Raw genomic sequence first — 15,754 nt, forward strand, 5'->3', positions numbered from 1 at the left:
GGAGGAGCACCTTACATCAGGAGTTCGAGACCAGCCTGGCCAACATGGTGAAACCCCGCCTCTTACTAAAAATATAAAAATTAGCCGGGCATGGTGGCACACGCCTGTAATTCTAGCTACTCAGGAGGCTGAGGCACGAGAATCGCTTGAACCTAGAAGACAGAGGTTGCAGTGAGCTGAGATTGCGCCACTGCCCTCAGCCTGGGTGACATCAAGACTCTGTCCCAGGAAAAAAAAAAAGTATAATACTTCAGGTTGGGCACGGTGGCTCACACCTGTAAACCCAGCACTTTGGGAGGCCAAGGCACATTTGTGTGAGCTCAAGAGTTTGAAACCCACCTGGGCAACATGGTGAAACCCTGTCTCTACAGAAAATATAAAACTTAGCCAGGCATGGTGGCACATGCCTGTAATCCCAGCTACTTGGGAGGGTGAGGCATGAGAATCACTTGAGCCTGGGAGGTGGAGGTTGCAGTGAGCTGAGATGGCACCACTGTACCAGTCTGGGTGACACAGCAAGACTCCATCTTTAAAAAATATATATATATTATATATAATATATTATATATAAAATATAAAATATTATATATAATATAATATAAATATATATAATATATTATATATATTATATATTATATTATATATAAAATATATATTATATATAATATAATATATAATATTATATATATTATATAATATTATATATTATATTATATATTATAATATATATTATATATAATATTATAATATTATATAATATTATATATATATTTAAATCAACTGACGACAACTTATATCCCTGAATGCAAAGAGGCTTCAGAGGTTGGCCAGCCCTTCATTTGTAAAATGAAGGAAACCAAGGTACAGTGGAGACTAAAAAGACAGCTGCCCAGCACAGAGCCCAAGCCAAACCAGACACACTCTTTTCACCCCTGCATCTGGGCCTCATCTAACCATCTGATTCATTTCTTTCTTTTGAGACGGAGTCTCGCTCTTGTTGCCCAGGCTGGAGTGCAATGGCATGATCTCTGCTCACTGTAACCTCTGCCTCCCAGGTTCAGGCAATTCTCCTGCCTCAGCCTCCCAAGTAGCTGGGATTATAGGCATGCACCACCATGCCTGGCTAATTTTGTTTTTGTTTTGTTTCTTTTCTTTTTTCTTTTTTTTTTTGAGACAGAGTCTTGCTCTGTCACCCAGGCTGGAGCGCAATGGTGCGATCTCGGCTCACTGCAACCTCCGCCTCCTGGGTTCGAGTGATTCTCCTGCCTCAGCCTCCCGAGTAGCTGGAATTACAGGCACCCGCCACCACGCCCAGCTAATTTTTGTATTTTTAGTAGAGACAGGGTTTCACCATCTTGGCCAGGCTGGCCTCGACCTCCTGACCTCAGGCGATCCACCTGCCTTGGCCTCCCAAAGTGCTGGGATTACAGGTGTGAACCACCACGCCTGGCTGTATTTTAAATAAAGATGGGGTTTCACCATGTTGGCCAGGCTGGTCTTGAACTCCTGACCTCAAGTGGTCTACCCGCCTCGGCCTCACAAAGTGCTAGCATTACAGGTGTGAGCCACCACACCCGGCCGATCTGATTCATTTCTTAGAAAACGTTTAAAACACTTGACTCAGCCATTTTGTTTTAAGTAAGGAACATAAAAACATACTCAAGAAATGAAACAAATATTGCAAAAACCTTAGTGCCATATTACAGCCAACAACCTAGAAAAGGGGAAATAAAGACAGAAGAAAAAGAAAAGAGAAGAAACAAGGAAATAAGTAGAAGAAAGAGAAGAGGAGGAGGAGGAAAGACCCACAGCCAGGGGAGAAAAACAGAAAACCCCACTAGGGGCAGACCTTATGCCAGGCACAGTTCTAAGCCTTAGGAGTCGAGAACACAACAGTGAAGGGTTCTGCTCATGGAAGATGAATGGCAGTGAAAGGAGCAAAGAAAAGAAAAACAAGACACAAATCAGAACATTTCAGATCACAAGTGCCTGGAAGATAAGAAACAGGTGACATTTTGCGAATGATCTGGGGCGGGTGCAGGGGTTTGGGGGCTGGATATTAGAAAAGGCCTCTCTGAGGAGGGGACACAGAAGCTGGGACCTGGATGGGGAGAAGTCGGCCACGCACAGATCCGCAGAGAAAGCTCCAGGAAGAAGGGATAGCAATTGTGAAGTTCTCAGGAAGAACAGGCTTGGTGCTGTCCTGAGAGAGGGAAGTGTGAGCCCACGGCCTGAGGTGGGGCTGCAGCCACAGACAGGGCCCAGTGGTTGAGGCCTCCCTTCAGCCATGGACAGGACAGGAGGGACATGATCGATGCACAGTGGAAAGGATCTCTCTGGACTGGCGAGCAGCAGGGGCTGACAGACGACGCATGTCTGGGGCAATTCAGAGGCTGAGCTGAGAGACGCGGAGCCTCTGACAGGGGGAAGCTATGGGGGTCGGGGTGGGGCTTAGGAAACATCTGGGCTATGACAGACAAGATTCGTCGAGAGACCCCCCATAGAAAGCAAGGTAGAGGAAGAAATCCTGTATGGGTGGGTGGAGATGACTTTTCCTGCTATAAGAAGGGCAAGACAGAAAAGGCAGGGCTGGGAGTGAGGCAAGCTCACAGAGGGGGAAGAGCAGGGACAAGAACCTGGGCAGCATCACAGGGGCGGTGGTGTCTGAAGCCAGGGAGAGAACAGCCTGGGAGAAGTGGGTCAGGCCTGCGTCTTCAGGCCCACTGGAGTTGAGTCTGGCCGAGGAGGAAGAGCCAAGAAGGAGCCCAGGGGGGATGCCTGGAGGAGGGAGGGACGCACGGGTCGCTGGGCAGAAGCGAGCGGCTCTCAGGAGGATGGGGCGCGAGTTGGGCAGAGCATGACTCCCAGAGGCAGGGTAAGATGGGGGCTGGGAAGGGGCCACTGCGGTGACCAGGAGGCACCCAGGTCACACCCGGCTATGGTGAACGTGGGTAGAGTAACCTTGCTGGACTCTGGGCTCCTCCTCTTTCTAAAATATACCTTGTCCTTATTCATTGCACAGTGGAGAAACCTGGCGGACACCACGCTGACCGAGAGATGAAGGTTAATATCACTAGCACCGAAGGGATACCACACACCTCCTGATGGGGTTCCCGCTGCCGTGCACGGCCTGAATTTAATCAGGAGAAAGCAAGGGGCAAACTCAAATTCAGGGAAATTCCACAGAATAACTGGCTTGGACTCTTCAAACATGTCAAAGGTCGTGAGAGACAAAGACGCAAGAACGGTTTCAGATGAAAGGAGACCAAAGCAACAATGGTGAGAGCCACACACGATCCTGGATTGGATCCGGGTTTCTATTGCTAAGAGGACATCAGGGGACAACGATACAATTTAAATAAGGTCTGCAGGTTTGAAAGAGGATTGCGTTGATATCAATTTCCTGATCTTGATCAGTGGACTGTGGTTATGTTAGAGAACAGCCTCATTCTTAGGGAAAAACACTGAGGAACTCAAGGGTCCACGAGCACCACATCTGCAATTTACACCCACTCACATGGTTCAGGGAAAAACGGGAACAATGAAGCAAATGCTAGTATTGGGGGAACTGGGGTCAGGGGTACGAGAATTCTTTGTCTTACTCTTGCAACTTTACTGAAAGTCTGAAATCATTTCAAATTGACAAGTGAAAAGAACCATACCCACCGCTAATGCCGCTGGAGGAGATAACCTTAGGGAGTGCATGCCCCAGCACCTGCTGCTCAAGAGGTGCCGGGAGCACCAGCGAGGAGCTCAGGTGTGGAGACACCCTGCTCAGAGCAGGATGAACGTCAGACGTTATCACCCTGCTATCTCCCACATGCAGATCTACAATCCTCTAAGCCCTGCTCCAGGCGAGTTATCGGATGCTGCCCACTAGGAGGACAGGTCTTTCCCAGCTGGGAGCAGGCGGCACTGGCATCAGAGAGCAGGTGTGGGGTGTAAATCTCACCCTCCTCCTGGGCACCAAATGTCTACTCTGCTGAGCGCTGGGAAAGGCCATGTCAAAAGAGCTCAAGTTACCACATAGGGCAAAGTCAGGAAGAGGCGAGGGGAGCCTTCGGGACAAGCACAGCAACAAGACAGCAAACACAAGTGGCTCTTGAACCCACGAGAAAGCAAGAGATTCAAAATACAACCATGAGGTGCCACTCCTGCCTGGGAGCTTTGTAAATGCAGTGCTGAGCGCCAGGAAGGCCTTCAGGAGGCGGCCCGCAGGCACTGCTGAGCATCACGGCAGCTTCTCCGGGAAGCTGTTTGCAAAACTTATCAAGAGCCTTTAAGGTATTTATGCCCGGCCAGGCGCGGTGGCTCACGCCTGTAATCCCAGCACTTTGGGACGCTGAGACAGGCGGATCATTTGAGGTCACGAATTCAAAACCACCCTGGCCAACATGGTGAATCCCCGTCTCTACTAAAAGTACAAAAATTAGCCCAGCATGATAGTGGGCGCCTATAGTCCCAGCTACTCGGGAGGCTGAGGCAGGAGAGTTGCTTGAGCCTGTGAGGCGGAAGTTGCAGTGAGCCGAGATCGCGCCATTGCATTCCAGCCTGGGTGATAGAGCGAGACTCCATCTCAAAAACAAAACAAAACAAAAAAAGCCGGGCACAGTGGCTGACGCCTGTAATCCCAACACTTTGGGAGGCCAGGGCGGGTGCATCACGAGGTCAGGAGATGGAGACCATCCTGGCTAACACGGTGAAACCCCATCTCTACTAAAAAATACAAAAAAATTAGCTAGGCATGGTGGCGGGTTATGCCCCTGAGCCCAGTCATTACTATTCCAGAAATCCAACCCCAGGAAATATTCCAAAATGGGAACCAAGATGTACGCAGAAAGATGTTCAAAGCAGCATTATTTACAACAGAAAATCATGAGAAGCAATTTAAAGATTCCACACCCTGGCTCCCACAGACATTATGTAACCATTAACAATAATGTGTTTGCACAGGTTTTGATGACATGGGAAATGCTTGTGATGTAATGTGAAGCCAAGAAAATTTAATGGTAAACAACATGATCTCATGAAGTTTTTTTAAAGGAATGGCAACAACTGTAGGACTGCTTGCATGCCACCCTCCTCACTCCCACGTGCTATGGAATTGCTGTAGAGTTGTGTTTTCCTCCTTCTTTATGCTTTTCTATATTTCCATATGGAAAATTTCCATATTTTCTCCATTGGGGATGCGTTATTTATAATTAGAAAAAAAAGAAGAAATATACAGAAGGGACAGGAAGAGCTCCGCAGGAAAAGGCGAAGGGAGCTCCTGCTACACCGACTCCTTGGGTGGGAGGACTTGGCTATGTGTCTCCCAGGAGCCTAGCACCCTCCCCCTCCTCACCTGCTGGCCTGCCTATAGGTGAGCAGCCTCACAGCTGGCAGCAGCCCACTGGCACCGAGATTCTCAAACCTCCAGGGCAGTTTCAAGCTTTTTCCAGGGAGCCCCAGTCCTTTCCTCCCACCTGGGTGGGTTTACCCTGCGACCACAGGGGCACTTACCCGTGGTTTGTGGGTAAACAGGTCATTTTTGTTGCTCTCCTCCCCTGTCCACACCACACTCACTCCCCACTGCCTTTTCCATGCAAAGAAAGAGATTTCCTCAGAAGATATGCCAAAGGCCGGTCACCTCCAGAGCCTCTGGAAGGCTGCACCCTGCCCCACAGCGTGGCCACCAAGTGTCTGCTTAGCTCAGGCAGGAAAATGATGGAGTGCTGACATGTTGCCGCCCCCTCGGCGGCCCCTCTCACATACATTCTTGCATTGGATCCTCATTTTTTCTTGGTGGGTAAAGGATTCCTTAGCAGTCCCACTCCACCAAGAGCCGGAGGCTGTGGGCAGCGGGGGGCACAGGAATGCCTCCGTGAGTCCTTGTGTCCCTCAGAGGGAAGCGAAAGCAGGCCTAGACTTGAGGCCAAGAGGACTGTCCCCGGGGCACGGGAGCTCTTTGGGTGGCAGCATGCCAGGCAGATGTTTATGGAAGGGAAAAGATCAGGGCTCTTCGGCTGAAGTCAGAGCAGGGAAAAGTGGAACAGAGAGTAGCCTCCTCTGGGGCACAGCCCAGCGCAGGCCCACAGTCCACTGGCCGGGGGCTGCCCCAGCTCCATGGTTTGGGCACCTCTGAGGCCCCAGCTTTCACATCTGTAAAACGGGGTTCCACCAGCCCACCCTAAGCAGGTCATCCTGGGGGTCGACTGAGACAGTACAGCTAAAGCGCCATGCCTGGGTGACAAACATCAGCTGCTGTCACTATCTTCCCAACTCCCTCCCCTCCCAGATGAACAGAGGGCCAGGGAGGAAGCCCCCGGCCCCACACAGCTGGAAGGCCCACACACTTGCGCCCTCCCACTCGCACCATGATGCAGCTCCATGCTGACCTCCCCACAGGCCAGGCCGTCCTGGGGTGAAGGCAGCACAGGCAGCCCACCCACCAAGCCAGGCTGACCATGCACCCAATGCTTAGCAGAGTTCACTGCATAGGGGAGCCAGCAGGTGTGATGCCCACATACACTTGGAGCAAACACACAGGCCCGAGGACACCACGTGCTTTTGCCAATGCAGAAACCTGTCCCCAACATTCCTCTGCAAAGGAAGACCCACCCCAAACAAAAGTAGTTGGGAGTGTCAGGTGTTGCAGAGAGGGGGGCACCTGTCCCAGAGCACTCACCCTGTACCGGCCTTCAGTGCACAGAGGAGGGTGTCTGAGGAGCCACAGACAGCTGCTCTTCTGCCTGAGGTTACTGGCCCAGAATACAAAGTTCCCCAACACAAGGCTGCTGGAGGCCTGGGCTGCAATCAGGGGAAGGGGCAGCAGTGAGCCTAGAGGCTGTGAACCTGAGGCCTAGAAGCTGGCATGGGCCGCTGGCTGCAGGGAGGCGGGAGGTTGGGTCACGCAGAGAGTAGCTGATCCACAGCCCACAGCCTGCTCCCTCGGCCCCCTAGGGACCTGGCAAGATGATGAGGGAGGTGGTCTGAGACAGGAGGCAGTCAGAGACGGGAGGGCAGGTTTCTGTGATGGATTTGGGATGTGCTGCCGAGTGAGGCGGAAGACACGGAAATGTTGGCCAGCAGGCAGTGTGGGGCTGGGGAAGGCTGTCAGGAGCTGCTGTGAATGACGGAGGGTGAGGGCTGCACTGCTCCTTAGAACCTAGTTATGGCCCTGAAACTAAGCTCACCGCTGTGGTCACACAAGACCCCCACCACCAACCTGTCTCTCCCTGACCCGCACACAATGCCAGGCACGGATGGGGCCCAACAGACATAAAGATGAACTGAAACACCACTGCATTCCCAGGGCGCCTGCACCCTTCCTAGAACTTGGTTAACCCAGTTTTTCCTTATCGAATGGCACTGCCTTCCCAGATCTGAAACCCAGGCCTTTCCAGAATCAACATCGGCTGGGAGAAACCGCACTGTAAGATGGGCGTGGCCCCCTCACACCACCCTCTCTCCAGGAAGCAGGGTCTTCAAGGTTATGGTGGAATAAGCCGACTCTGGGTATGCTGAGCTTGAGGGGTCTGGGATGGTTCAAAGGGAGGAGCTGGGTGGGCAGACTCCCCCTGCTCCCCAATACTAGACCATTCCCCAAAGCCGAAGGGAGCAGGGGCCTCTGCACAGCACTTGGGGTATAGAAGAAGGAACCCCTGCAGCTGGAGGCACCTATGGTGACCCTCGGAAGTGGCAGCAGAGGGTGGGAGACGGCCTTCCTGAGACCCCCAGAAGCCTTGCCTCTGGTATTAATGACACTCCCGGTCCTCAGGCTGTACGAAACCAAGCCCAGACACTGGAGTATGCCAGCCTTTCAACTCACAATGGCACATTCCCAGCAAGTGCCACCAGTCTGCAGCCCTTCTGGCTGGCACCATTCCAGGCACTTCCTGCCATCTTCACAGCACGGCACAGAATAGGCGATGGCCAGGCACAGGAAGCAGGGGGCAGCAATGGCTGGGGCCAGGCTCCCTCTGCGGTCCCATGCTGCAGTCCCATGCTGCAGTCCCATGCTGCACCCTGCTTTTGGGTATTTGGTTGGTGGATGGCAATCAAGAAGTTCTCAAGGTTGTCAAGTTTGGCTGAGAAGCTTCCCTGGAAATGCAGAGGGCTTTACTAACAGAACCCACAGAGCCGTTTCCTGCTCCCTCGAGCTGAGCCGCAACTCTTCAAGGGAGGCTGCTAGAGCCCCAGGTGTGAAGGGCATTCTGGGATGCTGCCAGGGCCAGCAACCAGCTCAGGTTACAGTTACACGCCTCGGGGGATGCCACTGTCTTGCTTGCTCCTGGTGATACACACAAGCAAAGCTCTCCCTTTCTGACCTCAGAAATGGGGAAACAGTAGTGAGTGAGTGAGAGAAAAGCAACCACCATCACCCAAAGATCCTTCACCCTGTTTTCCTCTCCAGAGAGCTGACAGCCCAGAGACCCACTTGCTATTTTCTGCAAATGCCAGCTGACAGATCCCTTTTCTTGGCCTCGGGTTGTGCATAAGAGACCAAGAAATAAGACAGCTTTGACTGTCACTTGGGACGTGTAAATAACTCCTTGCAAGCAAGAATGAGCCACAGTGAAGCCAGTAGTGTGTGGGGCACCTGCTTCCTCCCCTGCTGCCTCTCGGGTGACTCCACAGCTTCCATTTCCCTCCCAGCTTCAGCTTCAGATCAATAACTCAGCATTCCCCTTCCAGAAGGGAGTCAGGAAGGCACCTACGACGACCTGCAGGCTGAGGCAGGGCGAGGGCCTGGCCGTCACCTGCCCCGCTCCTGACAGAGCTGCCGCTTCCATAGCACACAACACATACTCACTGAGCTCCACCTGGTGCCCGGCCAGTGCCAGTGGAGGAGGGCACAATGGTGGGCAGTGACCCCAGCAGAGCCTTGCTCCTTGCCAGGCAGGGGCCACTGTGGCTCTTCACGCAGACTCACTCAGTAACCCTCACAGCCCCTCATCACCTCCCTGTACAGGTAAGGGACCAGGTGCAGTGGGATTAAGTGACACACCCAGGCCACCAGCAGAGCCGGCCTGGAGCCCGCTTCATATGGCCCCCTCCAGAGCAGGAGCTCGGACCCATCAGAGTTGGCCTATGGACTCTTCACTCAACTAAAGGAGTAAGTCACGGCTTTCATCAGGAGCACAGTGTGACAGGCACTTGGAAACCAAAATACCAAAACCAAAAACCCCACTTCTGATAAAACTGTCACTGGCCTGGCCTCCAGCAGGGCCACCAGTGGCACTCAGAGCTTCCCAACGAGAGCTGACGAACAATGTCAGCAGTCACATGTCCCAGATAAGCCAAGGCAGTTTCAATTTGTCTAATAAATCATCAAAATGTCCCTGAAATCCCACTACTTCAGACCTGAACTACATCTCCCAGGATGCCTCTTGCAACCAGAAGGAGCACAGAATCCTGCTGTCAGGCCATCATCCCCCAAGTTTTGTTCCAGACAACAACGTGGCCCCAGTGCTCAGCAGCCTTTCTGGGGACCAGGGCAGGGCGCCACCTAAGAGCTGCTGCAGCTGAGGCCCCACATCGCTTCGTCCTACATATTCCTGTCCTCACAGAGCGTCTCCTGCAGCCTCAGAGGGCAGCAGTGGGCAAGAGGCCGCAGAGGAAGGGAAAGACCAGGCCCTGCTTCAGGGGCGGGTGGCCAGCAAGTTGGTTCTGAAAGCCCAGCAGAGCACCTGGGTCCCTCAGCAAATCCTCAGAGGTGTGCTGGAGAGCAGCAGAGGGCAGAGAAGAAAGAAGTGTGGTTCAGAAACAGGCCCCAGGAACCTCCGAACCAACAAAGCTCCACACACCTACTTCCTATGGGCCCAGCTGCCCCCAGCACCAGCACCCGCACCAGGCTGTGCCCCTAGCCCCAGCTGGGCTCCACAGCTGCCAGTGAAAGCAGGTCAGAACCAGAAAGAAAGAGCTCTTGGCAGAGCACTCGGGGCTGCGGCGGTGGCAGCTCTGACGGATGGGGCCGCTCTCCCCAGGCGGCTCTGCTCTAAACATGTCCGACGGGCCCCAGGGCTGGCAGCCAAGAGGGACAGATGAAAGAACGACTCCACCTGGCTCTCAGGGCTGCCACGGCTGATATCAAAGCACCCAAGAGAGGACAGACTGAGGCTGAGATTTCTGGGCAGGGGGGGCAGAAGGGAGGACGCTGGAAACAATGCAGGTGACAGACACAGAAGACAGGAGAGAGACAATACCAAAGACGGAAACAGACACAGCACGGGTGCTCGCCGAGGCTCAGCTGTCCGGGCTCTGGGCCCCCAGGAGCGCCGGCTGCTCCAAGTGGCACTGCGGCGACGAACAGCAGTGAACAGTGCCAGCAGGGCTCCTCATCGCCCTGGCAACCCTCTATTCAAAGGAGCAGCCGAGGGGGAAAGGGTGGCACCGAGGCGACTGGCGCCATGGTCTCGGGACTTGTGGACTGGGGGACAAAGGGGGTCTCAGAGAAAGCAGAGTGAGGGGTCCCGAGGGCCTGCAGTGAGGTGGCTGCTCCATCCCAGCCTCACTGGAAAGCAGTGAGAATTTCAGGGCCAACACTGCCCCCTGGCGCACGAGGAGCCAGCTTCCTGCCGACCCTGCAGCACGGGGTGTGGGCAGGGCTCACATGGGAAGGTCACTTGTCCCCATTCCTCCACATCCTATAGGAGTAGGCTCAGGAATGCCTTCCCTATATTCCCCGGGCAGCCACCTCCCTCAGCTCTGTCCTTGTCTGTGCCCCACCCATCGTCCTGCTCAGGGGGCTCTCCATGAGGTCTCCGTGGCGTCTGTGTCCTCAGCAAAGAGCATTTAATGTTATAAAGATTTGTTGACCCGTCTTGTCTCCTTTAATAGACACTGTTAGGGCCCTGGGCACAGGATCCCTGGTCTCTTTTGTCCCCACATCTCCCTGGCACTCTGTACAGTGCGTAAGACCAGAACTAAATAAATGTCTGAGGGAATGAATCAGTGAAGAAATACTTCAGGTCACAATGAGGTTGCAGAGTGGCATGAGGCTGTTAAGATTCACCGTGAGGCGTGGTGGCTCATGCTTGTAATCTCAGCACTTTAAGAGGCCGAGGCAGGGGTATCACTTGAGTCTAGGAGTTTGAGATCAGCTTGGGCAACATATTGAGATCCTGTCTCTGCCAAAAAATTAAAAAAAAAACTTTTTAAAATTAGCTGGGTGTGGCCTGGCACGTGGCTCACACTTGTAATCCCAGCACTTTGGGAGGCTGAAGCGGGTGGATCACCTAAGGTTGGGAGTTCAAGACCAGCCTGACCAACATGCAGAAACCCCATCTCTACTAAAAATACAAAATTAGCCGGGCATGGTGGCACACGCCTGTAATCCCAGCTACTTGGGAGGCTGAGGCAGGAAAATCGCTTGAACGTGGGAGGCAGAGGTTGCGGTGGGCTGAGATCGTGCTATTGCACTCCAGCCTGGGCAACAAGAGCAAAACTCCATCTCAAAAAAAAAAAAAAAAAATTAGCTGGGCATGGTGGTGCCCATAGATAGTCTCAGCTGCTTGGAAGCCTGAGGCAGAAGGATTGCTTGAACCTAGAAGGTTGAAGCTGCAGTGAGCCATGATGGTCCCAGTGCACTCCAGCCTGGGCAACAGAGCAAGACTCTGTCTCAAAAAATAATTAATCAATTAGTTAAAAAAAAAGATTTACCTAGAAATATTATGGAGCATTCAGATAAAGATTAGTAAGGCTTGGCCCCTCCTGGGAACAGCACACACACACTAGTGGGACACACAAATGTCCCATACATATTGATTAGAGCCCAAAGTGATGTTGACAGGACAGAGAGAGGGTCTGAAGGACAAGGTCAGCAAAAAGCACCTCCCAGACTAATGCAGAGCGTGCCTGTGCCCCCCACACCCATATGTTGAAACCTTGATCTTGGACTTCCAGCCTCCATAACTGTGAGAAATAAATGTCTGTTGTTTAAAAGCCACCCAGCCTGTGGTATTTTGTCACTAAAGCCCAAAAGGACTCAGACGCAGCCTGGCAATGGGAACCAGGGAAGCTGAGTTTCAGGGCTGCGAGGGGCGACAGAGGCTAGGGGCACCAAAGACTCAATTCTAAACAGAACTGGACAATCTTTGCAGGGAGGAAGATGCCAGGACCCAGCAGACACTTGCAGGTGGCCCAGGACATTTCCCGACCCTCTTCAGGCCACCCCACCCCTGCTGGAGAGCTTCACAGGACCTGCTCCCCACTCAATTCCCCTCGTTCCAAGATGACAGGACATGAATGCTGGCTGGATTAGAGAGGGCCTCCCAGAGGCCTTGGGGACTTCGGGACCTGTCAAGCTCAGGACAAGCGGGTGTCACCCGGTGTTAGAGGTTGAATTGTGTCCCCCACCAAAAAAGATACACTGAAGTCCTAACCCCTAGCACCTAGGTCAGAATGTGACCTTATTTGGGCCAGGCGCGATGGCTCACGCCTGTAATCCCAGCACTTTCGGAGGCTGAAGTGGGCTGATCACCTGAGGTCAGGAGTTCAAGACTAGCCTGGCCAACAAGGCGAAACCCATCTCTACCAAAAAATACAAAAAATTAGCCAGGTGTGGTGGTGGCTGCCTATAATCCCAGCTACTCGGGAAGCTGAGACAGGAGAATTTGCTTGAACCCGGGAGGCAGAGGTTGCAGTGAGCCGAGATGGCGCCATTGCACTCCAGCCTGGGCAACAGTGAGACTCTGTCTAAAAAAAAAAAAAAAAAAAAGTGACCTTATTTGGAAATAGGGTAATCAAGTAAAAATAAAGTCATTAGGGTGGCCCTAATCCAATATGCTTAGTGTCCTTATAAAAAGGGGGAAATCTGGACACAGACACACACAGAATGAAGATGTGAAGACACAGGAGATGACGGCCACATGACTGGAGTGAGGCAGCTACAAGTCAGGCAAGGCCAAGGACTGCTGGCAAACACCAGAAGCTGGCAGTGGCCAGGCAGGACCCTCCCAGAGCCATCCGAGAGAGCACGGCCCTGCTCACACCTTGAATTGGGGTTTCTGGCCTCCAGATGTGAGGCAAGAAGTCACCGTTGTTTTCACCCAGCTTTTGGCACCCTGTGATGGCAGCTGTAGGAATCTAATACACCCAGGTTGCCTACAAATAACCAGATCCTATACAGATCCTAACACCAGGGGCTGGAGAAGCACAATGATGGTAAAAATACCCCCCTCTCATCCGCACATCCTGATGCAGGCCACAGCGGTGGCTTTCAGAGCATGTCGCTATTTGGGACTGTGATCAGCTGGCTGGGGCAGGCTGAGTGAGAGGCAGCAGAGATGAGAAGTGAAGGATGATGAGGCGGGCCACGCCTGCGTGGAGAGCAGGGCAGAGTTAGCAAGATGGCCTGAAGGAAAGACTCCAGGGTGGGAGGAGGAAGGGACGTCCAGAGGGAGAAGAGGGGAGGGAGGGGGGCAGGCAGAGGAGGGGAGGAGGTCCAGGTGCTGGGGCGGCTGGAGCAAAGGCAGATAAGGCAGGAAGCAAACAGCCTGGCGTGGCCCGCTGAGGCAGGGAGTGCAGGCAGGGAGAGGAGCCTAAGGGCTGAGCCTGAGACTCAGTCCAGAGCTAGTGGGCCCCACCAGCAGCTTGGGCAGTGTCCTCTATGTCGGGATGCTATGGAAATACCAGGCAGCAGGGAGACAGATTTGCAACTGAGAGCTCAGGACCACTGTGGCAGCTCTGGGGAAGCTGGATTTGAGAAGGAAAGATGAGAAGTAGAAGGTCAGCTAGGAAGATGTTCTAATGTGGGCAAGAGACAATGAGGACCTGAACCACGGTGGTGGGAATAGGAATGAAGAGGGACTGTGCCAAGAAATACTTAGGAGGTGGCATCAACAGCACCCATTAGATGGGAGGCAGAGAGGCAGCAGGGAAGGGTGGCCCTGGGTTTTAAGGTGAACGATGGCAACACCAAATTAAAGAACGCGAAGCCAATGTGGGTAGAAACAGTGACTCAGCTTTGAACCTGAAGAGTATCCGGCTGGAAAGAACAGACAGCTAGACAGTGAGTCTCCTGTGTAAAGAGTTCTGAGCTGCAGAGACCTGGGAGTCATCCCAGCCCGCTCCAGAGACGAAGGCAGGAAGGCACGCTGCTAGGATGTGTCAGTGCCACGGTGCACGCCCCTGGCTTCAGAACCTAGGGTCCTGCCTTTGACCACTGTGCCACAGCGTCTTTCCCAAGATACAAGGCTCCAGCCCCGGCCATCAGGGCTGGCCCAGGAGGTGAGGCATCACATGGCTGTTGGGGAATGTGTGGAAGGTCCTCTCGGCTCCACAGAGTGCTTACTGGGCTCTTTTCCAGGCAGCGAACTGGAAGCTTCCGTTCCAGGAACCAGGAGTCCTGCAGCTACTGGTATGCAGTGGGCTCCCCAGGGAGCCCAGTCTCATCTCCCAGCGAGAGGACCAGGGGCCACCAAGCTCCACCCCAACCCAGACTTGCCAATGGGTGTTGGTGTCTCATTTTTCAGTGTGAACGGTCAGCGAACCACCACCAGATATTTGAGGAAATGACCAAAAAATTCACCAAAACAAATTGGGATTTTTAAAAAACAGGAACATTGAGGAGAAAAGTAATATAGAGAACAGATACTCAGAAAAACTATAATTTATCTCCTCAGAGAAACAAGAAAAGCTATTGCATCCATTAAGTAAGAGGCGGCAGCTATTTTAAAAAGGCAACAAGAAAGAGCTCTAGGAAATTAAAAATAGAGTTGCAAAATTTTTAAACATAATAAATAGAGAATTAGAAGATAGTTTGGGACATTACCCAGAAAGACTAACATATGGAAAATAGGAGAAAAGATAAGAAAATAAGAGACTCAGTCCAGCAAGTCCAGCATCCAGCTGCCTGGGACTCCCGGAAGGGGAGACGAGAGAGCCAGGGGCAGGGGAATCCTGCTGGAAAGTCTCCCGGGACTGAAGGACGCGTATCCATGTGGAAAGGTCTTGGAGCGCCTGGAGTGATGCCAAAAGTCCCACTCAGAAGAAAGATCAGTTTGGGATGCCAAAAGAGACCTCCCACTCTCTTTCAGTTTGGGAGGTCAAAAATCCAACATCACTTTCACAGGCCGAAACCAAGTGAGGGCAGGGCTGCGCCCCTCCGAGGGCCTGCAACGAATCCCTCCCGAGTCTTTTCCAGCCTCTATGGCTGCCGGGCTCCTTTGCTCGTGGCCACATCACTCCCACCTCTGGCTCTGTCTCCACATCGCCTTCTCCTCAGCATAGGTCTCTGTCCTCTAAGGACACTTGTGATGGCATTCGGGGCCCACCTGGATGATCCGGGATCACCTTTCCAGGTCAGAATCCTTCATCACATCTGAAAAAGCCCTTCTTCCTTCTAAGGTAACAACTAGGATTAGGACCTGGGTACCTTTGGAGGCCATCTCCAGCCTACCACACTTCTGAAGACCAAGGGTCACACACAACTGTCTTCAGCAGTGACATGGAGTCAGAAGCTTCTGGAGTAATGTCCTCCAATTTTGGAGGGAAAACGCTTCCCAAGCTGGAGTCCTCTATCCAGTTAGACTACTAATCCAGTGGGGGTAAAATACCAATCTTTTGAGACACGCCAGGCCTTGGGAGGTGTGCCACCTGTGAGCCTGTCTGCCCAAGAAGCCCAGGGATGGGCACGAACAAAACAAAGGACTAAATAAACCAAGAATAAGGAAGACAAGGGATCCAGGCACCTGGGCAGCCAGCACAGAGGAGGCAAAGGGAACTCCCACGGCGATGGGGAGGGAGGCCCAGGTCGCTCGCTGTCCACAGG

General features: G+C 52.8%; 1 protein-coding gene across 12 annotated transcripts in view, besides 5 other annotated features; it reads right to left on the minus strand.

Annotated features, from left to right (window-relative positions):
* Positions 1-15,754, minus strand: part of PC (pyruvate carboxylase) — a 109,964-nt gene that overhangs the window by 24,388 nt on the left and 69,822 nt on the right. The window contains exon 1 of one of the 12 annotated variants that reach the window (XM_005274031.5): positions 6,668-6,754. The exons of 10 other annotated variants lie outside the window; for them this stretch is intronic. The gene's annotated coding sequence lies outside the window, so the exon portion shown is untranslated. Of the gene's footprint in view, positions 1-5,502; positions 6,755-15,754 lie in introns of those variants that run through there. One more of the 12 variants, XM_005274032.5, reaches the window with a different exon arrangement.
* Positions 3,746-4,246: an enhancer, noted in NCBI's record as "H3K4me1 hESC enhancer chr11:66644024-66644524 (GRCh37/hg19 assembly coordinates)". NCBI's record gives its function as "activates a minimal SCP1, AML or CMV promoter by ChIP-STARR-seq in primed H9 embryonic stem cells {active_cell/tissue: H9 hESC(primed)}" and the evidence as "EXISTENCE:reporter gene assay evidence [ECO:0000049][PMID:30033119]".
* Positions 4,247-4,747: an enhancer, noted in NCBI's record as "H3K4me1 hESC enhancer chr11:66644525-66645025 (GRCh37/hg19 assembly coordinates)". NCBI's record gives its function as "activates a minimal SCP1, AML or CMV promoter by ChIP-STARR-seq in primed H9 embryonic stem cells {active_cell/tissue: H9 hESC(primed)}" and the evidence as "EXISTENCE:reporter gene assay evidence [ECO:0000049][PMID:30033119]".
* Positions 5,474-6,212: an enhancer, noted in NCBI's record as "H3K4me1 hESC enhancer chr11:66645752-66646490 (GRCh37/hg19 assembly coordinates)". NCBI's record gives its function as "activates a minimal SCP1, AML or CMV promoter by ChIP-STARR-seq in primed H9 embryonic stem cells {active_cell/tissue: H9 hESC(primed)}" and the evidence as "EXISTENCE:reporter gene assay evidence [ECO:0000049][PMID:30033119]".
* Positions 9,169-9,906: an enhancer, noted in NCBI's record as "H3K27ac-H3K4me1 hESC enhancer chr11:66649447-66650184 (GRCh37/hg19 assembly coordinates)". NCBI's record gives its function as "activates a minimal SCP1, AML or CMV promoter by ChIP-STARR-seq in primed H9 embryonic stem cells {active_cell/tissue: H9 hESC(primed)}" and the evidence as "EXISTENCE:reporter gene assay evidence [ECO:0000049][PMID:30033119]".
* Positions 9,907-10,644: an enhancer, noted in NCBI's record as "H3K27ac-H3K4me1 hESC enhancer chr11:66650185-66650922 (GRCh37/hg19 assembly coordinates)". NCBI's record gives its function as "activates a minimal SCP1, AML or CMV promoter by ChIP-STARR-seq in naive and primed H9 embryonic stem cells {active_cell/tissue: H9 hESC(naive and primed)}" and the evidence as "EXISTENCE:reporter gene assay evidence [ECO:0000049][PMID:30033119]".

Source organism: Homo sapiens, chromosome 11 (assembly GCF_000001405.40).
Source record: "Homo sapiens chromosome 11, GRCh38.p14 Primary Assembly".
Classification (NCBI taxonomy): domain Eukaryota; kingdom Metazoa; phylum Chordata; class Mammalia; order Primates; family Hominidae; genus Homo; species Homo sapiens.